Source organism: Homo sapiens, chromosome 6, assembly GCF_000001405.40.
Source record: "Homo sapiens chromosome 6, GRCh38.p14 Primary Assembly".
NCBI lineage: Eukaryota > Metazoa > Chordata > Mammalia > Primates > Hominidae > Homo > Homo sapiens.
In genome coordinates, this window is record NC_000006.12 from 38,849,115 (window position 1) to 38,873,388 (window position 24,274).

The window sequence follows — 24,274 nt, forward strand, 5'->3', positions numbered from 1 at the left end:
GACCTCTGATTAGCAGAAAGAAGAAACTTACATAGTTTTAAACAGTGAATAATCTCGAGGTTGTTTGAGGATGTGAGGTACATTCAAATGCAGTACTATTATAGTAGTTCATGTCTTCTAAGAGTTAACCTCATAATATTCCTCTGAGAATAATATTAAAATTAATCTATATTCTGTAAGCACAGATCAACTTTAGTTAATTATTACTAAGTCTACTACTAGCAGATCAGAACATGCTGTGGAGCAAGAAAACAGCCTTGGGAGGCTGTAACAAAACCTTTAAAACAGCTCTATTGGGGCCTTTTAAATAAATGCCAATAACTGTAATAACTGATAGGTTTAGTCGATGAAGGTAACTTTGCTATTAGAAAATTAAGCCTGATCTTCCTAAACTTCTGTATTTACAAGCAAGATCTATATAGGTTAAAAATCAAGGATAAAAGAGGTTTTTTTTTTGCTTTTTTTTTTTTTGAAAATGGCCGATTTCCTTTGTACTAATAGCACATTTTTAAAACATTAAACTGAAATGTATCATTTTTGTTTTTTAATCAGAAGTCTGTATTTTTAAAAGAGGAAAGATTATGCCAATTGCTAGAGGCATTTTTGCAGCTAAGTACAAAGCTTAATATCATTCATAGTAAATAGAAAATTTTCACTTGCGAAAATGTAAATGAAACTTTGTTTTGTGGCTTTACTGTCTTTTTTCTTTTTTTCCCCGCCTTGGGGTACTATTGAGCTGTAATTATTCCAAGGATCCTGAGATCAAATTATTTTCATGCTTCTTCAGTTTGCTCCTCAAACCAAAACACCTGGGGTGCTGAAACACTAGATTGGAACTTTAAGTTGATAGCTCTGCAAATTAATCATGTGGTACTTTGAAAAACATGTTAAATGCAATGAAACAAATAAGCAATAAGCCTCATTGTGATAAAGAAGCATTTTAATATGCAGTTTTATAACTTTGGGTTTGTGTCGCTCAGAATTAATTCAAATGAAAAAAAATTGTCTGTTTAAATTATGCAGCCTGAGACTAATAGAGGCTGGTTTGAAGAACTATAGAAAATTCCAAGGTGAAGACTTTGCTTTTTTTCAATTATCCAAATGCTAATCTTTACTGGCTATGGATGCATTTTCAGGAAGCAAAACGTTTTCAGAATATTGACAAGTCTTGGATAAAAATAATGCAGCGAGCTCATGAGAATCCCAATGTGATTAATTGCTGTGTTGGAGATGAAACCATGGGACAACTTTTACCTCATTTACATGAGCAGTTGGAAGTATGTCAGAAGTCACTCACAGGGTAAGAGTTTAATTTTTAAATCACATATCATTTTGTATGTGACAGTGTTTTATCCCAAACTTACTAGTATTGACTACATTTCTGGTTTGGTAGTGATGGTTAAAGTGGGGCTAGGAACTTAAAATTTCACATAGATTGAACTTTTCTGTGAGGAAGACACCTTTGACTTGGGGGTGGTTAAGGCATTGTATTAGTTTCGTCAGGCTGCTATAACAAATTTCCACAGACAGTTGGCTTAAAGCAACAGAAATTCATTCTCACAGTTGTGGAGACAAGAAGTCTGAAATCAAGGTGTTGGCTCCCTCTGAAGGCTCTAAGAGAGGATCCTCCCTTGCCTCTTTTGGCTTCTGGTGGCTCTAGGAGTTTCTTGGTTCATGCCTTCATAACTCCAATCTCTGTCTCTGTCTTCACTTGGCCTTCTTCTCCTCTTCCTGTGTGTCTCTTATGACGACATTTGTCACTGGATTCAGGGCTCTTCAAGATCCTTAACTTCACTCCCTCTGCAAAAGCCCTTTTTCCAAATAAGGTCATGCTTCAGGATTTCAGGGAATAGGACCTGGACATGTCTTTTTGAGGGCTAAAATTCAAGCCACTGCAGGCGTAGAATAGAAATGTGCACTAAGAGAACAACTCACCAAACTCAAATATCATTTTTATTTTATTTTATTTTTACTGTCACAAGAGGATGGTGTCAGGATAATTTTTTTAAGGCAGTTCATTTTCAATCTCTATTTGAAATAGGGTGATAATACATCCTGGTTTGTCCAAGTTTATGCGTCTGTCCTGGCTTAATGGTTAGTTGTCCTCCCTTTCACTCTCAAAATGTGTTGGTTTGGAGATACGGTTTGTGCTCCCCCTGGGTTTAAGCCATGAGCTTTCCAGCAGTCTCAGAAAGGTCATAGGAGGGCATCTGATGAGAAAGGAGAGGACAGCAGATGATGGGGCAGCCTTGCTCTGAATCTCTTGTTTTCCCAAGTGTCATCCATGGTGGAGCATGGACTTTGGTTTTCACCAAACATTGCAGGGGTAGGTGATAAGTGACTTTAGGTGTTTGCTATTATCTTAGCAAAGATGTTAGTGATTATGTCTTGACTAAAAAAATAATAATTTAGGGGAAAAAAAACCACTTGGTAACATACTGTCGACTTTATTTGAAGGTATTTGGAGAAGAAACGATTACTGTTTCCAAGATTCTTCTTTGTATCTGATCCAGTTCTCCTGGAAATTCTTGGACAAGCCAGTGATTCCCACACCATACAGGTATAATCTAAGAATCTGTGATCTAACTTGCTTTTCCCACGACATACACAATGAAGAATAAAAGTGAAGTTAAAATCTTAAAAATGCAGGCAGGAAAGAAGAGTATTACAAATTACATTGATCATAAAATTTCATATTTTCTGTGTATTTGGAGCCTGTCATCCTGATGCAGTCCAGCAGTGTTAAGTGACTATGCACTGACTATGCCATTCCTAGCTGTGTGATCTTGGCAGGCTTCCTAATTTCCCCATCCCTCAATTCCATATCTGTAAAATCAGGATATTAATGGTTCTCACCTCACAGGACTGTCATGAGGATTATATGAGATCATGCATAGCAGAGTCTCTAGCACACAGTATGTGTTTATTAAATCGAATTTATCATTATGAGTATTTTATTCTAAATATTCTTAGACCAAATAGGGATTATATTTTGGATTTGTCCTTTTTTCCTTCCTCAATACTTCTCAAATGCTTTTAGCCATTTCCTAGAGCAATACTTTGGAAGAGGAAAAGAAAAACCGTAGCAAACTGAGAGTGGGAGGCACAGAAGGTCCCATCCCAGGGCCAATTCTGGTCTGGGGATCTGGGAAACGGCTAATGTAGTTTCCTTGTTGGTTTCCAGGGACTTGTAACAATGAGAAAAGAGAATAGAAAGGCTCTGTGAAAGGTGGAGGTAGAGCTAGGAGAGATGGCAGGACTGAGCTGTATCTGTCGGGGGAGGAGGGGGGAGGCGGTGTGGTCCAGTCCCCATCTGGTGGAAGGTGACAGTCCTTAGTCTAATCTGCATAGCATGGGAGGGGCCATTTGCAGGACTTGGAGAAAACATTCCTCTGGCCTTGATTTTAAAAAGTAGACCTCCAAGCCAGTTAAGGGTCAAAGCAGAGTCTCTCTCTATTTTTTGAGACAATAAAGTAAATACTTAACCTTTTAAAAAGATACAAAATATTAAGGCTTTTAAAAACATCTCAGCGGCTTTTGTGTCCAGCCTCATGTGTGACGTTTTCCTCTGTCTTACAGCCGCATCTCCCTGCAGTATCTGACAACATCAATGAGGTGACATTTCATGCAAAAGACTATGATCGCATCATGGCCGTCATATCAAGAGAAGGAGAAAAAATTGTTGTAATTTACCTTGCTTTAAATTTTTTTATTAGAATTTCTTTAAAAACTTAGGTTGAGGAGAATACAGTTCTCTTACAGAAAAAAACAGGAGGAGAGGGAGTTCTCATTCTACAGCCCTGGGCTTTGTTAAAAACTAGTTTAGATAAATCCTTTAACTTCTCTGAGACTCATTTTGTAATTTATGAAGTGAAAGTTTTGGACTAGGTGATCTGTGTAGTTCCTTCCAGCTATAGTATTAGGTGATTTTACCCATATTTAAAATATTTTGTATAAAATATGAAACTGTTTGCTTGGCATAGGGCACTATGATTTATTAAGTGTGCATGGAACGTCTGTAAAAATGCCAAATTATTATCAATTTATAATATCCTTGTAATTTTGTTTTAGTTGGATAATTCTGTTATGGCCAAAGGTCCTGTGGAGATTTGGCTACTGGATTTGTTAAAAATGCAGATGTCATCATTACATAATATAATTAGATCCGCTTTCTATCAAATCAGTGATTCAGGATTTCAACTCTTACCATTCCTCAGCCACTTTCCAGCACAGGTGAGAATACACAATGCTTAAGTAATGGTGAAAAGAAATGGAAATAAAGGGGAAGGATGCTTAGCAGGTGGTTGACCTGATGGTGTGAGGCAATTGTAGCTTTGAATTAGGTTAGAGTGGCCTACTCACACTCATTTTAGCCTCAGCTCCCAACCACCTGCTTGTCAACCTACACCATTCTAGACCAACCCATCCCATGTCCCAGAGGAGGATATGCCACTATTTTCCCATCATGAAGGATACATACATTGAGTCTAATAGATACATATGTAAGCGTGTGTGTGTGTGTGTATTTGTATACAGAAACTCCTCGACTTATGATGGGATTATCTCCCAACAAACTCATCATAGTTGAAAATATCATTAACCAAAAATGCATTTAATGCATCTAACCTACCAATCATAAGCTTGGTCTAGTATGTCTTAAAGATGCTCAGAACACTTACATTAGCCTACAGTTAGGCAAAATCTTCTAACACCAAGCCTATTTTATAATAAAGTGTTGATTGTCTCATATAATTTATTGACTACTACACTGAAAGTGAAAAACAGAATGGTTGTGTGGGTACTCAAAGTACAGTTTCTACTAAATGCATATTGCTTTTGCACTGTCGTAAAGTAAAAAAAATTTTTAAGTTGTACCATTGAAAGTTGGGGACCATCTGTGTGTAAGTGCACGTGTGTGTGTGTGTATATATATATGTATATATATACACCAATTCATAGATATGATGTGGATATAGATATGGATATATGTAAAGGGAATGAGCATACCTTTTCTTGAAATGAAATCCATCTTGTCTTTAATTTTCCCTTCAAGCAATTAAAAATGGACATAAATTGTTGAGAGGCTTTTTCATGCAACTAATGTTTAGAAAGTGAAGACCTCAAAGAGGCCAAGATTGGAGCAGGTACCAATGGTTTCATTACACTTTCATTCAAGAGAAATGAAAAGTGATGATTTGTGATCTGGCCAGAGAGAGCATGGGATAAAAGGCAAGAGATATCCAAGGAAAACGTAGGCAATTTTTGCCCAAATGGTATTTCTTCTCCAACTACTCCTCCCAACCTGAGCTCCAAATCCTGAATTAGTGCACACAAAATGAAGACAGCTGAAATGATGTATCATTTATTCAAACCACAGAAGGACAGAGATATAATCAACCTTTATTGGAGAGAATAATATTGTGATTTTTATATTATATAATACCCTGGGAAACTTTAGTATTCTTATTAGCATTATTACCTTTGTGATAAAGCTTATAAAATACTTTGTTAAATTGAGAAAAGAGTTCCTGAAACTAAATCCACGTATTTTCTTTCTCCAGACCCTGTATATCCTGAAGGAGAGGCTTGGCCTAAATTAGGCTGAGGATTTAGCATTAAGTAGAGAGTTGAGAGCAAGTTCCAAACAGTGGTGAAGTTGAACAGGATGTAGTAGGAAAGATGACTAGTTTTCAGGATTTTCTCTAGTGTATGTGTGTATATATATATGAACATATATACACATATGTATAAAATACTTTGTATTTAATATATATACATATATACATAAATACAAAGTATTTTTACAATGTATATAATACATATTTTACAAAGTATTTTATACAATGTATATAATACTATATATATAATACAAAGTATTATATACATATATACATATGTGTATATATGAATATATTCACATAAGTATATATGAATATATTCATGTATGTGTATATATACATGTATACACATATATTAAATTTTTTAAGGCATTTTTTCAAATGACTGAAATCTCTAACTATCAAGTTAATTTAACATTTTTATCTGAAATTGTTTAAAATTCCACTTCTGCTTTCTTTTAAAACATGTTTTAATTGTTTGAATGCCATGGATCCTTGCTGCAAAATTTTGGAAAATGCAAAAAATATAAAAGTGGAATACATAGGTGATGGGTTGATAGGTGCAGCAAACCACCATGGCACACGTTTACCTATGTAAGAAACCTGCACGTTCTGCACGTGTATTCCGAAACTTAAATAAAATAAAAATAAAATAAAAGTGGAAATAAGAATTTCCCATATTTCTACCACCTGGAAATTATGACTATTAATATTTTAGTGTATTCCCTTCCAATACGTTATTTATGTATTTATTGCTGTTTTCTCCTTTGTTCTTTTTTTAAATTGACATATAACAATTGTACATATTTATGGGGTGCATAGTGATGTTTTGATGTGTATAATATGTCTTGTGATCAGATGAGAGTAATTAGCATATCCATCATCTCAAACATCATTTCTTTGTGTTGGGAACATTCAATATCCTCCTTCTCGCTATTTGAAACTATAGGTTATTCTTAACTATAGTTATCCTACAGTGGTATAGAACAAGGGTCCCCAACCACCCCCACCCGGCCCGGCCACAAACCGGTACCGGTTCATGGGCTATTAGAAACTGGGTCGCACAGCAGGAGGTAAGCGGCGGGCAAGTGAGCATGACTGCCTGTGCTCCACCTCCTGTCAGATCAACGGCGGCATGAGATTCTCAGAGGAGGGCGAACCCTATTGTGAACTGAACTGTGCATTTGAGGGATCAAGGTTGTGCGCTGCTTATGTGAATCTAAAGCATCCTGTGACCCCCGTCCATGGAAAAATTGTCTTCCATGAAACCAGTCCCTGGTGCCAAAAAGGCTGGGGACCACTGGTATAGATCACTAACACTTAGTCCTCCTACCTGGCTATAATTTTGTGTCCTTTAGCAAATCCATCCCTATCCTCTTCTCCTTACCCTTCCCAGCCTCTAGTATCCTCCATTCTGCTTTCACTTCTCTGAGGTCAGCTTTATTTTAGTTTCCATGTATGTGTGAGAACATGTGGTGCCTTCTCATATTGTTTAATGTGCTTATTATAGGCATCGAGTAATATTGATGAGAATGAGCATTCTTGTTTTGCTGTTTTGTTTTTTAATGAGACATCCTCTGGTTTTCACCACTAAGTCGCATGCCTTTTTAGACTGAGTATAAAAACATAATTTTAAGCTGTTCTTGGTGACTCAAGATAATGATTGTAAAGACTTGCCTTTGGATAGACATAATTATGCAGTGGCTTTTGGGGTCTGCTGGTCTATTTGTCTTTAAGTCAGGCAGCCTTACACTGCTATGCTTTTGTAGTTTTTCTCTTTGTCTTTCCCCCCTTGGACCATCATCTGCTGCTGACCAGAATCTGCTTGCTCTTGGGGGGCTTTCTGACACTGCTTGTTTTCTCCAGATCCCATTGCTCACTTCAGCCAGGTGCTTTCATTTATCTTTAGCTGCAGCCCTCAGGATTGGCCACTGCTCTAGCAGGAAAAGTATCAAAGTCCCTGATAAGGCAGGGACAGAAAGAGGGTTTTATTCTTTCTTTTCTCACTGTTGAGCCCATGCCAAGCAGTATCCACATACTGCCTGCCCCGCTTTCAGTCCTCTTTTTTGGTCCAAATGATGTTGGATCTGTCATTCGACTCTGGATGAATGAGAGCTCCTGAAGGGACAACCCTTTCAGTGAAGGGGTGAGGGTGGGGCATGCTCAGACCACTTTTATTACCTTTTCTGGGGCAGAAATTGTAGGTTAAGGTGACATCCTCTCACAGTTTCTTTATGACTTCATCAGGATACAAAGAATACAAGCTTCTCCCCTTCTCATTTTCTGTCTCCCTCTCTCTTCTATAGATAAGTATAGAGACAGAAAAGTAGACGTAGATAAAAACGTGGATATCAGAGAGAGGGAGCAATCAAGAAAGGAGATAGGCAGTGTATTGTTTTTAGAAGAGCAGAGAGACCTTTGGGAAGCCCTGTTCAAGAACAAGCAGATAATAAAGAGTTCCTTTGCTTTTCTTGAGAAAGAAAAATCGTTGCATGGAAGTATCCAATAGTCTCAGGCCCTCTGTAGAAAAATTTCCTAACCATCTTCTATAACACACATATAGTTCAACAAATGGTAGCCAGTATTTTAATCATCATTAATCTATCTACTTTGAAATAATTAAATATTAACGGTTAAAACTTTAACTGTTTCCCTCCTTTGGGAGTGAAGAAATGCAAGTCAATCTCATTTTTAGTTTAAAATGTGAATAAGTGACCACCAAATTTTATTGCAGATGTGCTTTAAATATTTGGCAAATTTTAATATTTTTCTGCTGGATCTGTAGGTTGGACTTCTGGGAATTCAGATGTTGTGGACACACGATTCAGAAGAGGCTTTACGTAATGCAAAAGATGACAGGAAAATCATGCAAGTGACCAATCAGAAATTTTTGGATATTCTAAATACTCTCATTAGTCAGACAACACATGATCTAAGCAAGTTTGATAGAGTGAAGTTCGAGACTCTAATTACCATCCATGTGCATCAGAGAGATATTTTTGATGACTTGGTAAGGTATCTTTTTTTTTAATTTAGTGTACTAACTAATAATGAACAGCTAAGAATTGTATATGTTGCCTAACTTACATGAACTTTCCATTTACTTGGTCCTTTTTCATAACTGTCCATCAATATCGTGTCCACAGTATTGTATTTCTGTATTGGATGGCTTAAACAACCATATTATATATTCATTTGGCACTCTGAAAGTTTGGAACCAACTGATGTGATATGAGCCAGCTAATTGTTCCATTAAACCAAATAACCAGGAACATGATATAATTTAGGTCATAAGCTATGCTGGGTCGATTGGAAAAGGAGCACAGATGGAACGGAATCAGGCTTCAGAGCACTCTCACGGCTGTTCGTCCAGTTGATGGTGATCATGGGCTTGATTTAGGCAAAGTTCTGTAGGGTGGGACTAAGAAGGATAAGTGTTTGAATTCCTTTAGAAATGGGACTCTAACCAGTGGCCTTGACCAAGGCCAACTTCTCCTAAAGCAAGGATTTTTCTATTACAGGTGGTTTTGAAATGCCACTATTTGATAATCTTTACCTCCCATTTAACTCCTATTGCTTTAGTCTACTTGATTTGATACATTTTAAAGGTATCTCTTTCCTTCATCAGAGACACATAATTCATGCAGGTTGGGTCCTGTTTTAGAGAATGTGATCACAGACTGCCTGTTTTGAAGTTTTACCAAAAGTTCTGATCAGATAGTTTGTATTTATTGAAGATTATTTGAAGGACATCCAGTCAGTCCGTCCATCCCCCTGCAACCCAGATCCTTGCTTCTCAAAGTATTACATGCTGACCAGTGCTTTGGTATCACCTGGAAGTTGGTGAAAAGAGCAGAATCTCCAGCCTCCCTCCTCCCATCCAAGACCTACTGAATCAGAATCTGCATTTTATCAAGATTCTTAGGAGATTCATATGCATATTGAAGTTTGAGGAAAAACTGCTCTAGGATTTATCTCTGGATTAAGCTACTATCAGAAAGCTGCACACTTATATTGTTTTGGCCTTCCACGGACTAGCTTTTACTAATTGCAGTTACTATTATACTTTGACTTTAATTGATGTCCACCTCAAGAAGCACTAGTATGGAGTTCATTATTGTATCTGCTGTCAGCATACGTTTGAGGATGTTGTCTATACGTCTCTCACTGGCTCCTAAAACTGAAGTCCTGTGAAAGAAATTTCTTTTAAAATTAAGTGCTGAGCAAACTTTACTTTACATCCAGAGGGATTAAAAAAAATAAACCTGTACATAAGGAAAACTATGAAACCATTTTCTTTTATCTTAATCACCATTGAACTGTTTGCATCCCAACTAAATGAGATGTCATGGCCAACATATATGCATTTTATTTTTCCATGTACAATTATTAGAACAACCTGATATACAGCAAGAACTCAATAAATATATTAACTATTCTTCTTTTCTTCTCCACCTCCTCCTTACCATCTTAACAGATGGTTGAAAGTAGCTGGCTGAGAGCATCCCCATGGCCTTGAGTCCTGTGTTACAGAGCATTCCCTGTGGGTGGGGCCAGACTGTGTTACCTGAAAGTAACTCAAGATGATGAATACAAACTGTGCTTTAGGTGGGAAGCCAGTCCTTAACTAGAGGAGGAAGCAAGATCATAACCAAACAACAAACAACAATAGCAAAAAGCAGGACTGTAAATAGCAAGGAATATGGAGGCCTGGTCAGATGGAGATCTGAACATTGTATAGTAGCCACGAGTCCATTTTTTAGTGTCAGTTGAATGACCTGGAAGTGGGCCTACTGGATTTAAGAGCAGTGAAGGGGACCACTTGCCACTTCCTGTGTTGATTCCTCTGAATGGGCAGGACTGGTGTTTCACCAGTTTCACTGGAAAGTCACGAAGCTCCTCAGAATGTGGTTATGATGGAATGGAATTCCTAAGTTTGCTTACCTGGTTTCTGTCTCTTTGAACAGACCAGGTACTAGAGCTTGCATCCATGGCTATGAGAGCCCAGTACCTCTTGCCTCACTTGTATATGCTGATGACTAGGCAGATTGAGTGGCTTGGCTATAGTGCTGGTGCAGGGAGACATGGGCATATATAACCATGTGTTTCCCTGCTTAATCCCTTTAGTGGCTTCCGACTGCTATGAAGACAATTCCTAAACCCCTTCCCATGGCCCTGTGAACCCTCAACTCTCATGCTTTCTCTAGATCCCGGGATGCCCCTAGCTGTACTGACCTTTTTTCAATTCCTTGAAGATGCCAATCAGATCTTCTAGACATTTGCCTATAGCACTTACTCTTCCCACACCCTCATGATCCCTTTTGTTCCCCGCTCCTGGTGGCCCTGGCTAATTCCTACTATTTATCTGGGTTTTAGTTGAGATGTTTTCTTCCTCTGAGTGCCCCTCTCAGATATCCTGGAGTAGTTAGGTCCTCCTGCTCCATATATTCATGAGCCCTGAATTTCGGTGGTGGTGCCCTTTGTACTTTATTGCAATGATTTGTTTCACTGTTTGCCTTTTGCCCTTTTCTGTAAGCTCTGGAAGCCTGGAACCATCTCTGTCTTTGTTTGCCTAGCACAGTGTCAAGCATAGGAAGAAACTCAATAAATATTTGTTAATAAGAATCAGTTCATCAAAGAGTGAATTTTAAAAACTGCCCACATGCTTATGTTTTATGCTATTGCAATTCAGTATATAATTTTTTTGTATTTTATGTTTTTAAGGTAAAAATGCATATCAAATCACCTACTGACTTTGAATGGCTAAAACAGAGTAGATTTTATTTTAAGGAAGATTTGGATCAAACTGTGGTGTCTATTACAGATGTTGATTTTATTTACCAAAATGAATTTCTGGGATGTACTGATCGTCTTGTTATCACTCCATTAACAGATAGGTAGGAAACCCAGTTTTCGTTTTTTATTTTGTAATTTTAAAATGTGCATAACATTATTTATAGTTGAATTTGAAATATTAACAAAAGCAGATTTCTGTCATGCTGGGTAGATGCTAGCTCATTAAAGTCAGCCTAACAATGAAATAACCACTTAAATATACATGTGCATTGAATTTTTATGAAGTAGAAAAAGATAAAAGAATAAAAGCAAGCTTGAATGTTGACTGTGAGTGATTTAATGGTGAATTTTAGATTGCAAGATGGAAAAATATTCCTAGAATCCCAAAAGAAGTTAAAATTGCAAAGAAGGAAGGTCCCTTGGAGATCATTTAATTTAGTCTTTTTTTCAGATGTGGAAATTGGCACCTAACGTACATTTTCATGGCCAATATGAATAATTAGTCAATGGCAGATCCCGTCACAATTCTTTCCATTATATGACACTAGGCAATTACTAGGTCTTTTTTATCCCATGACACCCAGTTAAGTATGCTGTGCATAGAAAACATTCAATAAATGTTGTTAGAATTGACTTAAATTGCGTTCTTTAATATTAAGTGCTGCTGTTACTTTAAGTAGGGCTGCCTCCAGGTGAAATTATATCAAATCACATCTTCAGCCTCCTTTTGATTTATTGAACCTATCCCTTTTATATGCCCAGTGCCATAGCAACATAAATTTGTCAGTGTTTTCTCTTCTATTGGTGTTTACATATTAAGCATCGTGTCTCATGAAGCTTTACTAAGATCTTTACTAAGTTTTACTTAGATCCAAAACAAATACAACAGAAGCTGGATCATGGATACAAAGAGATTTATTATATTAGTATTCTTTGCACTTTTCTAAATGAGCGAATTATTTCATAGTGAAACTATTTATTTACAGTGGTGTGCTGGAGCTGACTTGCATCAGCCTGTGGTGCTTACCTGGTTTCTTTTTTTGTTTTGAGACAGAGTCTTGCTCTGTCGCCCAGGCTGGAGTGCAGTGGCGCGATCTTGGCTCACTGCAACCTCCACCTCTACCTCACAAGTAGCTGGGACTACAGGCGCATGCCACCACGCCTGGCTAATTTTTGTGTTTTTTAAATAGAGACAGGGTTTCACCGTATTGGCCAGGCTGGTCTTGAACTCCTGACCTCATGATCCGCCCACCTCAGCTTCCCAAAGTGTTGGGATTACAGGCGTGAGCCACCATGCCCAGCCTTACCTGGTTTCTGTCTATGTGCATTTTGCCCCGACTTTGTGATATCACATTGGTAGCTTGCCATTGACCACAGTGGAAGAATTTATACAATAGATATTGGCAAACATGAAAACCAGGTTTTTTTTTTTTTTTTCTGGAGAGCCAGTTGTTAAACATTTGCCAGCACAATACTGCTCATTTGGTTCTCCTGACTGTAATGGGAGGAAGGCCTGAGGGTTTTAAGTCAGGGTTGAGGAGTTTTGAAATTAGTCTCAAGAAATCTTTGGGCTCACTGTAGTACTTTTAATGAATATCAAGTACCCTAACCTTGTTTGTTCACTTCTTTTATGTGGGCTACTCAGACTCTAAAATAAATAGGCCCATTCCAATCACATTGGATTTTTGCTTGCGCCATCCTGTAACGTGTCATCCCATACTCACAATGCTTTATTGGATGAACATTTGCAGATGCTATATCACGTTAGCTCAGGCCTTGGGCATGAACATGGGAGGTGCTCCCGCAGGACCTGCTGGCACTGGCAAAACAGAAACCACAAAAGACATGGGAAGGTGTTTGGGAAAATATGTGGTCGTGTTCAATTGCTCAGATCAAATGGATTTCAGAGGCCTAGGAAGGATTTTCAAAGGCAAGTGTCAAATAATGTAGATTATTTTAGGTGAATTTATTTTTATTGCCTTTTAATGTTATTTTCTGATATAAATCCAAAGTGACGTGATCTCATATAATCTACATTAGTATGGGTTGATCCGTATGATATTGCCATTTTTCTAGGTCAAAAATGGCTGGATATCAACAGTTTCATATGGTTCAATACTATTGCTAGTGTTATAGTCTATGCATGGAATGTGTGTTAGATTACGAAAATGGAATCAATCTATAATTGCCTGAAATAATAGTAGAGAGGATCAAAATAGCAAACAGGGGACACATGTGGCTTCCCTCCCACAGAAATGAAAGAATTTTAGAAAGCATAGCAACACTGGAAAATAAGAAGGGGGTGGCCATCAGCAGATGGAAAATTTTGAGAAAATCCTGAAAGGTACGTAGAACATGTTTTCAGATGGACAGAGAAAAAAATATTTGAAGACACATCAACCTCAGAGCTCAGTACTTGGCGATCTTCTCTTTTCTATCTACATGCATTCTCTTGGTGATCTTATGTAGGTCCAAACTTTAAATGCCATCTGTATGATGACTCCAGAATTATATCTCTAGCTCGGACTTCTTGAAACTCTAGATTCATTACGTACAACTGTTGATTTAGCATGTCCACTTAAATGTCTAGCAGGTGCAGATTCACTATGTTTAAAACCAAACTCCCGGCCGGGCACGGCTCACGCTTGTAATCCCAGCACTTTGGGAGGCCGAGGCAGGCGGATCATGAGGTCGGGAGTTCAACCATCCTGGCCAACATGGTGAAACCCCATCTCTACTAAAAATACAAAAATTAGCTGGGCATGGTGGTGCGTGCCTGTAGTCCCAGCTACTCAGGAGGCTGAGCTAGAATTGCTTGAACCCGGGAGGCGGAGGTTGCAGTGAGCCGAGATCTTGCCACTGCACTCCAGCCTGGGCTACAGAGCAAGACTCTACCAAAAAAAACAAAACAAAACAACAAAAACAAAAACAAAAAACCCCAAAACTCCTGATCTCTAGGTGCTCAGACACAACAACAACAACAACAACAACAACAAACAAAACAACCATCCCCAAACAACTTCGACCTATCCTTTACTCCGCTCTTTCTCTTATACTCAGATCCAATCTGTCAGCAAACACTGTTGGTTCTACTTTCAAAATACCCCCAAAATTTGTACTTTCATCTTAGCAGTGTACTGTTTCCATTGTTTTGATGAAAATATACAAATAATTAAACCTCTCTTTATCACTGGAATTAAATATGTATTTATCAACAGCCAGATATGAAACTTTACATAATCCCGTTTCAATGTATAATGGTTTGGGAGCACTGGAGAAATGATTGTTATCAAGAAGGTATATTATAGAGTAAAACTTTACAAATTAACTGTTTTTCATGCCAGGTCTTGCACAGTCGGGTTCCTGGGGCTGTTTTGATGAGTTTAACAGAATTGAATTGCCTGTATTATCAGTGGCAGCACAACAAATTTATATTGTTTTGACAGCAAGAAAAGAAAGAAAGAAACAGTTCATTTTTTCTGATGGTGATTGTGTTGATTTAAATCCAGAATTTGGAATCTTCTTAACGATGGTGAGAAAAAAGGCTTTAAATGCAATTTAATTAGTTTAATTGTTACAGACATAAATAAAACAAAGCATGTGTTAATGGGTAGATGACCAACTATCCAGGAGTTATAAGCTGTTCTCTCTTACCATATGATTTTTTTTATGTCATTATAACCCAGACAGAAGATAAAATAGTAATTTTTTTCAATTAAAAAAAATTCAGATCCAGACCTACAGAGGTAATATGCTAAGGATAATAATAGATACTGTTTATTGACCACATAGTATAATATGTGTAAGGTGCAGGCTAAATGTTCTATGTGCTATATCAGATGGCATAACTCATGTGGTTCTGCAGTAACAAACAATCCCTAAATCTTAATTGCTTAAAGCCACAAGGTTTATCTCTCTGTCATGCCACATGTCCACTGTGGGTTGACTAGGGTAGAAGTAGGAGGCCAGGGCTGCTTTGTATGTCTTTACTCTAGTACTCGGCCTGACGAGGTACCTACTATCTCAATCATTGCTCTTTGCTGTAGCAAAGGAAAAAGAGAACATGAAGAATTGTGCTCTGACTCTTAGAGTTTCTTTCCAGAAGTGACACAAGTCCTAAGACATTGGCTAAAGCAAGTTTCACGACCTAACTTCAGGGGGTGGTGGGGTGGGGGAAAACGTGCCATCCTATCGTGTAACTAGAAACAGGAAGGACCTGAAATATTCTCTCACATGTACACTGTATCTTATAGCTATGATAGCCCTCTGAAGTGGATATTATATAGCTGACTTACCTGAGGCTCAGCGAGACTTAAAAACTTCCTAGGTCACCCAGCCAGTAAGAGAAAGAAGAAGTTGTTGTCTCTCTAACATAAAAATCTGACTGCTTAACCTCCACACTTGGTTTTTCTTTGACACCGAATAAAAGGAAATAAAAATAAAATTTCTGCAATAATTTAACAAGGTCCTATACGAAAGAATTGTAACAAATTCAGTTACCATGTGATTAAGGGTGAGCTTTGAGATTCAGTGTTGTAAAGATAGGAAACCAAAGGCATGAATAAACGGGAGTTTTTATGCTTTTATGTATCACCAGTTTTAAAGCTTTTATGTGTTTTCCATAAAGTTAAATCTCGAAGTTGCAAGATAACACAAAGCACTCTGAGTTTTTAAATGTCCCCATGGATAAAGATGATAAATTATAGGAAGCAAAATCAGAAATGTTTCTGATACACTTTATTGTAAGCAAACATCCAGTAAAGCAGTTAGGGGGAAATAAGAATAATCTGAAGTATTGATTATAAGTCAGGAAGTGGGATGAAGAAATGTACTCAGTGTAAAACTGTGGTCTAGAATTTTACAAAAAGCTTAACATGCTCCCTGGATTAAGAATAATATTGGAAATAGCAATTAGATATTGCATTAAGCTGTGAGTAACTGAAACCTAAAAAAAATTGTAGTTTAACATGTAAGGATTCTCTTAAGATCCTTTTATGGTTCTACTCCATCATGAATTCCATCTTCAAGGTCACCTTATGAACCAAGATGCTACAGAAAGCATCTCTATTGTGTTGCAGCCAATTGACTGAGTCAACTCTCTTCAAAAAAACATCAAGGATATTTAGTACAGTGTGCCCCTTTGCATCTCGCAGTGTAGAATATAATCACAGCAGCTGCAAGGCAGGCTGGGAAATGTAGTTTTTAATCTAGGTGTTGCTGTACCCAGCTTGCAGGTGGGCTCCTGTGGCTCAGGAAGGTTAAGAGGAGTATTGAGAGGCAGCCTCAATTTCTGTATTTCCAGCCCCTAGCAAGGTACCTGGCCTATTGACAGTGCCCAGTAAATGGTCAGGGACTGAAGGTTTTTAACAAACTTGCCTAAAATAACTCATTCCTGTTGGCCTTACTTGTCTTTGAATCTCCAACCTTCCTTTGAGACTTGGGTCTGACCTCTGTTCAACCTGTTGCTTCTTAGGAGGACTTCATTTCCTGTCTGTCTCTACTTTTGTCCATTTCAGTGTTTTTCCCATCATTCCCTTCTTTATTTCCCCTCACTGCCATCTTTATTTCTCCTCACTTCCATGGGTTTTTGTTAGCCAAAGAGCTCTGTAACTGTGGCTGCAAAGAATAATTGAAGAGATGGAATAAAAAAAATGCCCAAGGAAGCTCATCAGTATAAAATCCTTAGTTTTTTTCTTCTTTCAATAACATACTTTAGACCATAATTATCAGGTATCTATTCAGTTTTCTCTTGTATTATTTCACGTTCTTTTCTATTTTTAAGCCAGCAGACACAATTTTCTATTTTTTAAGTCAGTAGACAATTTTGCCACACAAAATTGTGTGTGACTTTATTAATATCATGAAAATGGAAATATATAAAAGGGCATATAAATATTAATATACATGGTCTAATACATATTGTTTTGAGAAAACAAGAGTATTTTATGAATCTAATATTTTCAATACCATCTTAAAATCTGAATTAGGGGTTTGAAATATATTTGTATTCAGAAATGAAAATTGTTTTAGCAATTAAAAATTAAACATATTTTAACTTTTAGAACCCTGGATATGCTGGGCGCCAGGAACTACCAGAAAACCTAAAAATCCAGTTTAGAACTGTTGCTATGATGGTTCCTGATAGACAGGTATGCACTAGGATTTAAAAGCATAATGTGCTTTATGTTCTTTACTTGTTTTTCACTAAAGTTGAAAAAAACTCACTATATTAATTTTCAGATCATTATGAGAGTTAAACTTGCAAGCTGTGGTTTTCTTGAAAATGTTATCTTGGCTCAAAAATTTTACGTTCTTTACAAACTCTGTGAAGAGCAACTTACTAAACAGGTAACTTTATAGATCTGCTTTCCTCCTAGCAATAGTATTTGGTTTTTTTGCTTTGTAATTTTCCCTTGATAAATACTCATCAGTGAGTTAAAATCTCATTGACTCTTTTCTAAAATGCTTTTAGAATTAATTTTACCTATTGGTTGTGTATTTTTAAGACCCTTTTATTTTGAAATAATTGTAGATTCACAGGAAGTTGCAAAGGAATGTACAGGGAGGCATGTACCCTTCACCCTGCCTTGCCTGGTGGTTGACATCTTGTAACTGTAGCGCAATAACAAAACTGGAAATGGACACTGAAGCAGTCCACAGAGTTTAAGGTTTCATCAGTTATACATGCACTGGTGTGTGTATATGTGTGTGTGTGTGTGTGTGTGTGTGTAGTTGTATGGAATATGTAAGATACGGCTCTGTTCCATCACCACAAGGTTCCCTCATGCTACTTTATAGCCACACCCACCTCTCTCCCAAATCCCTAACCCATTAACCTTTTCTCCATGTCTAGAATTTTATTGCAAGAATGTTATGTAAACGGAATCACATAGTATGTAACCTCTTGGTTATGCATTTAAAAATCTATTGTTTGGGCCGGGTGCCGTGGCTCACGTCTGTAATCCCAGCATTCTGGGAGGCCGAGGCGAGTGGATCATGAGGTCGGGAGATCGAGACCATCCTGGCTAACATGGTGAAACCCTGTCTCTACTAAAAATACAAAAAAAAAAAAAAATTAGCCAGGCGTGGTGGCACGCGCCTATAATCCCAGCTACTGGGGAGGCTGAGGCAGGAGAATTGCTTGAACCCGGGAGGTGGTGGTTGCAGTGAGCCGAGGTCCCGCCACTGCACTTCAGCCTGGATGACAGAGTGAGACTCCATCTCAAAAAAAAAAAAAAAAAAAACAAAAAAGAAACTATTGTTTGTTGCTCAGACTGTATCAGACTATATTATTCTCAAAAGATATTTAAGGTGTGAATACTTACTTGATCTTGCAGCTTGGATTTTCCCATGGAATGATCATATTTCAGTCAAAGGAAAGGCAGGAAGTTGAGCTAATAAACCTTTGTGGCTTAGTCACCCCAAAACTATCCCATATAAGTATCAGAATCGACCTATATGCATAGAGTGAGCCGTGAGTCTATGTTTAGTTTTTCAATTAAACCATCTTTTTGCCCTCTTCTCCCATCTCAGGTTCATTATGACTTTGGATTGAGAAATATTCTGTCTGTATTGAGGACTCTTGGATCTCAAAAAAGAGCCAGACCAGAAGATAGTGAATTAAGCATTGTCATGAGAGGACTAAGAGATATGAACCTTTCCAAACTGGTATCTTCTCTGAATTCTCTTCTTTTCCACAATTTTAATATTGTTTCTTTCTATTTGGTGGACAAGTAGAGGTAGGCTGATGTTGAGCTGTGAGCACCCATAATTACAGGGATAATAAGTGTGCAAAGCTACCACTGTGCTTCCAGAAGAAAGCAAAAGACCCCATGACCTGTGTGACCAACATGGACTATAAGTGCCTCCTTTTATCAGCTGTGTGCAGTGAAACAGGTCATCAGTGGGCTTCAGCTCCAAGACTCAACCTAGTTGTCTACCATTATTCACAAAGTGACACAAATTCTCAGCATAAGAATCTGGATTCACAGGGAACCATGAGAACTTTTTGCTTTCTCTGTATGTGACTAGCTTATCTCAGATATATCTCTCCCAAAACATAAACATCATTTCTATTTTCCAAAAACACATTGAAAATTTGCTGTGGAGAGCATGCTGCTTTCATGCTTGTCATGGTTACAGCCTGATTTTTTTTTTTTTCTTTGAAACAGACTCTCAGTCACCCAGGCTGGAGTGCAGTGGTGCAATCTTGGCTCACTGCAACCTCCTCATTCCAGGCTCAAGCTATTTCCCTGCCCCAGCCTCCTGAGTAGCTGGGACTACTGGCACACACCACCATGCCTGGCTAATTTTTGTACTGTTTTGTAGAGATAGGGTTTTGCCATGTCACCCAGGCTGGTCTCAAACTCCTGGACTCAAGTGATCCACCCCACCTCAGCCTCCCAAAGTGCTGGGATTACAGGCATAAGCCACCAAGCCCAGCCCAGCCCAGCCAGGTTGTTTTGAATAGCTGATGGACAGGTTCATGTGACATATAAGGATTTCTACATGCCACATATTGTGCCCATGCCATGGGTGTACAAAGTTGAAGAAGAAGTGGTTCAGGAAGCTACATTCTAGTTACAAAAACTAACATCTGTGGAGTTCATTAGTGTTACAAAGTCTTTTCAGGTGTATCGTCTTATTTGAGCCTCACAGCAACTCTGTGGGGTCTGGATGGCTAGCTTGTTTATTGTCACTTCACTTATTGGGGAATGGAGACTAGAGGTTGCAGGATTCCCCCATAATCACCATCAGCTGAGAAGAGGGGACAAAAATTTATAAGATTTTCTGGTGCCAAATCCACTGCTCCTGCCAGTATACCTCACTGCCTGTATGACCAACATGGACTGTAATGGAGGCTTAGACTCCCTAAGTCACCCAGGCTGGAGTGCAGTCTAAGCCTCCCTTAGATAATGGTATTTTGGAAATTCCTAGACAAGTACTCAAGAAAGCATCAGCAAAGCCCTAGAGAATAAAGAGAAATCATAAGGGGTCAGATGTTGGGAACAGGGCAATCTATGCATTAAAGACATTGCAAGCAAGGATTGGAGTCAGTGTACTCAAACCTACTGCTTATAAGAAAGGCTCAGAACACTGCCCTGATGGACTTTTGCAGCCATTGTTGGATGAAGTCATGCAGGGTTATGGCTATTTCCCCAATTTAAATAAAATATCCGTTCTTTAATTTCATGGGGTTGGGACTACAAATTATCATTTTTAAGGTTAATGCAAATGCCACTGTGAGAAGCAAAGATTCATGTGATAAAGTAATGAGGTCGTACTTTGGAGCAGTAGACTGGGGCAGGATTGTAGAACACATTGAATGCTAACGAACTTTGGGTACAATATAGATTCAGTGGTGATTGTATTAGTCTGTTCTCACACTGTTAATAAAGACAATTTATAAAGGAAAGAGGTTTGATGAACTCACAGTTCCACATGGCTGGGGAGGCCTCACAATCATGCTGGGAGGTGAATGAGGAGCAAAGTCACGTCTTTACATGGCGGCAGGCAAGAGAGCATGTGCAAGGGAACTCCCGTTTACAAAACCATCAGATCTTGTGAGACTTATTCACTATCATAAGAACAGCAGGGAAAGACTTGCCCCCATGATACAATTACCTCTCACTGGGTCCCTCCCACGACACGTGGGAGTTATGGGAGCTACGATTCCAGATGAGATTTGGGTAGGGACACAGCCAAACCATATCAGTGATATTCTGGAGAAAGTACTAGAGAATACAAGCCTGATTAGGAGAGTAATAAATGGTTCTCTGGGGATGAAGTGATAAGTACTATGCACATCCCAGCTAGCTGATAAATGTTTGTTGACTGAATGAGTAAATTTATTTTAAACTATGCCACCTTAGGTTGATGAAGATGAACCCCTGTTCCTCAGCTTAATCAATGACCTGTTCCCAGGACTGCAACTGGATAGTAATACTTATGCAGAACTGCAAAACGCAGTAGCCCATCAGGTTCAGATAGAGGGTTTGATTAACCATCCACCCTGGAACCTGAAACTCGTGCAGGTAAAGACATTTTAATCTATTATTAGTATAATGATAAGTATGTGTTAAACATTCCTGTCTGAATAGAAAAACTCATAGTTAGTCTTACTTGATGTAAATGTTAAATGAAAACATCATATATACATCATTGCAAAAAGAATACTTGGAAGGATGTGGTGGTCCTAGGAAGATAGTATGGATTTACCCTGCCTCACAGTAATCAAGCAGTAATTTACTGCAGTTTTTACTTATACCTGGTGACAATGTTGGGCGGAAATAGTAGGTTATAAAAACTCTAGGGGAACGGAACAACGCAGATGTCTTCTTGTGCCAATCTGATAGTACTGGCTGCAGCTGGGTGCCTCAGTGGAGTGCAGAGCCTGAGGAATCTGGGAGTGCTATTTTGCTCCTGCTTTGTGTGTGGACATGTTATATCCTTCACCTACACTAAAACCTGAATCTTTTGACTGCATATGTTGGTGTCTTTCTGTTCATCACATTTCATCCTTGTGACAACCATCTAACCACTTGATTGGATTACCAGTAGAATCAAGAACTTGTAGCAGAGACACAGGATTAAATCTCTATGAGCTTGATGCTTTGGGAATATTTTCCAGAGCTTTTGGAAAATTAAGGAGCTGAAATTGTGGACATTGTTGAAAACTGCATTTGAAATATTAATATAACGATTCTTATTTTAACTTACTGTTCTTGCCAGATTATAAGATGTGCAAGTATCTGAGATACATCCAAATCTTACAAAGAAATATGTGCATGGGGGAAAAGTCTTTTTCATCATTCATGTACTGGAAACCATTTTAAGAGTTTAAAAAATTTCTGGGAAAACATGATTTTATATATGATATGCATACAGTATACTGAGTTTTAAAATTCTTGCCATCTCAATGGGTGGCGACTAGAATTTTGGGTTCTTTGTTGATGTCAATAACATTGCTCTTGAACATGTCAGGAACAGTGCCTCTGTTGCTTTTAAACTATAGTTTACAATGGTAATACATTTCTGTCCAAAATGTTAGGAGAATAACTCACTCTCCCTCTGATCAGCTGTCAGACCTTTGACTTCTTAATTTTTTTAATGAGAAAACTGCAGACGGGATGTTATAGCAGCGGCTGTCCATGATCCTAGCATGTCTCCTCGAATCTCTTGTACCATTTCCACGTGCCCCTGCCCAGCTTCTGTGTGTTTTCGCTTCTAATAGCAAAAGGAGGCCTGGAGCCATTTTGTTGGCAGGCACAAAGAGTAGGTGCTGCACGGGAGTTTATTTCCCATCCACCCCCAAACAAACGTCTCTAAGAGTTGATGGAGTAGGAAAGTCAAGCTTGCCTGGTTCCAGGTGGAGCAATCTTTGAGGTGTAAGTTACACTCCAGTCTCCCGAGGGATCAGGCTCAAGTCTGTCCTCTACAGGGCTTTGTCCTCAATCACACCTTGCTTGGCTTCTTCCCATTCCTGTCCTGCTTTCCTCTTCTCTTACTGGTTTCTCCTGGGAGCACTACCTGAATAAATCACTTGCACAGGAATCCTCATTCATGATGTACTTCTGGGGAATTAGAAGGCCCCTTTGAAACGGATCTTCACTGTGATGCTCTGCGTTGCTGCTTTCCACCACTAAGGGGCGATATCATCACATTGGATGCCGAGAAAGTTTGCGCATGGAACAACTGCTGGTTATAGACCAACAAGCCAAAATCACAGGGAATCATCACGCAAGAAGCAAAAACTAGATGCTGAGTTAATTATTTCCAAAATGTAATTCAAGCTCCACATTGTTATTACTTTAGCACATATCGTTTTATAACGTGGTGCTCATTTGCTATGCACATCTAGTAAAACAACATTTTTTACAACTTAAAAATAGTGAACTAGTTACGTTAATGAAGAGCTTATTAAAGCCTTTAATCTTCAAGTAGCTACTATGAATGTCAGCAAGAGACTCATAAATTACATATTTTAATTTACTGGTTAATTGTGTAGTTATATGAGACGTCTTTGGTACGGCATGGCTTGATGACTCTTGGGCCCAGTGGTTCTGGAAAGACAACCGTTATCACGATTCTAATGAAGGCGCAAACAGAATGCGGAAGGCCTCATAGAGAAATGCGAATGAATCCAAAAGCCATTACTGCACCTCAGATGTTTGGCAGACTGGACACTGCTACCAATGACTGGACAGATGGGATTTTTTCTACTCTGTGGAGAAAAACATTAAAAGCTAAAAAAGGTATACACAAACCTCCTTTGTGATCATTTTTTCCCTGCTAGCGTATTAACACAGTATTTTTTTGATTTTTCCATTTTAATTACTTGCAAGTGAAAAGTGATTTTCTGTTTTAATTATTTTCAGGTGAAAACATTTTCCTCATTTTAGATGGTCCTGTGGATGCCATCTGGATTGAGAACTTAAATTCCGTTTTGGATGACAATAAAACTCTGACGTTAGCTAATGGAGATCGCATTCCCATGGCCCCTAGTTGTAAGCTTCTGTTTGAAGTCCACAATATCGAGAACGCCTCTCCTGCCACGGTTTCTAGGATGGGCATGGTCTATATCAGCAGCTCTGCTCTCAGCTGGAGGCCAATCTTACAGGTGGGGCAGAGAGATGGGAAGAAGAACCCTCAGAGTCTCTCCACGTTTCACTTTCTCAATAAACACAGATTCTGTTTCTTTGTTGCAGGCATGGTTGAAGAAACGCACTGCACAGGAAGCTGCTGTATTCCTGACACTGTATGAGAAAGTCTTTGAAGATACATACACATATATGAAGCTAAATCTCAATCCCAAAATGCAGCTCTTGGAGTGCAACTATATTGTGCAAGTAAGATTTTTT

At 38.4% G+C, this 24,274-nt stretch overlaps 1 protein-coding gene across 10 annotated transcripts in view; it reads left to right on the top strand.

Annotated features, from left to right (window-relative positions):
- Positions 1-24,274, top strand: part of DNAH8 (dynein axonemal heavy chain 8) — a 315,482-nt gene that overhangs the window by 133,804 nt on the left and 157,404 nt on the right. For 9 of the 10 annotated variants that reach the window (XR_926078.3, NM_001206927.2, XM_011514318.3 and 6 more), the window contains 15 exons: positions 1,137-1,300; positions 2,458-2,560; positions 3,580-3,684; positions 4,072-4,233; positions 8,404-8,628; positions 11,343-11,515; positions 13,166-13,344; positions 14,759-14,946; positions 17,477-17,563; positions 17,655-17,762; positions 18,948-19,082; positions 21,287-21,448; positions 23,422-23,668; positions 23,792-24,033; positions 24,122-24,262. Coding sequence is in view for 9 of the 10 variants with exons in the window: in NM_001206927.2 (NP_001193856.1) it covers positions 1,137-1,300; positions 2,458-2,560; positions 3,580-3,684; positions 4,072-4,233; positions 8,404-8,628; positions 11,343-11,515; positions 13,166-13,344; positions 14,759-14,946; positions 17,477-17,563; positions 17,655-17,762; positions 18,948-19,082; positions 21,287-21,448; positions 23,422-23,668; positions 23,792-24,033; positions 24,122-24,262 (2,421 nt within the window). In the remaining variant the exon portion in view is untranslated. The remainder of the gene's footprint in view (positions 1-1,136; positions 1,301-2,457; positions 2,561-3,579; positions 3,685-4,071; positions 4,234-8,403; positions 8,629-11,342; positions 11,516-13,165; positions 13,345-14,758; positions 14,947-17,476; positions 17,564-17,654; positions 17,763-18,947; positions 19,083-21,286; positions 21,449-23,421; positions 23,669-23,791; positions 24,034-24,121; positions 24,263-24,274) is intronic. The other variant, XM_011514319.3, reaches the window with a different exon arrangement.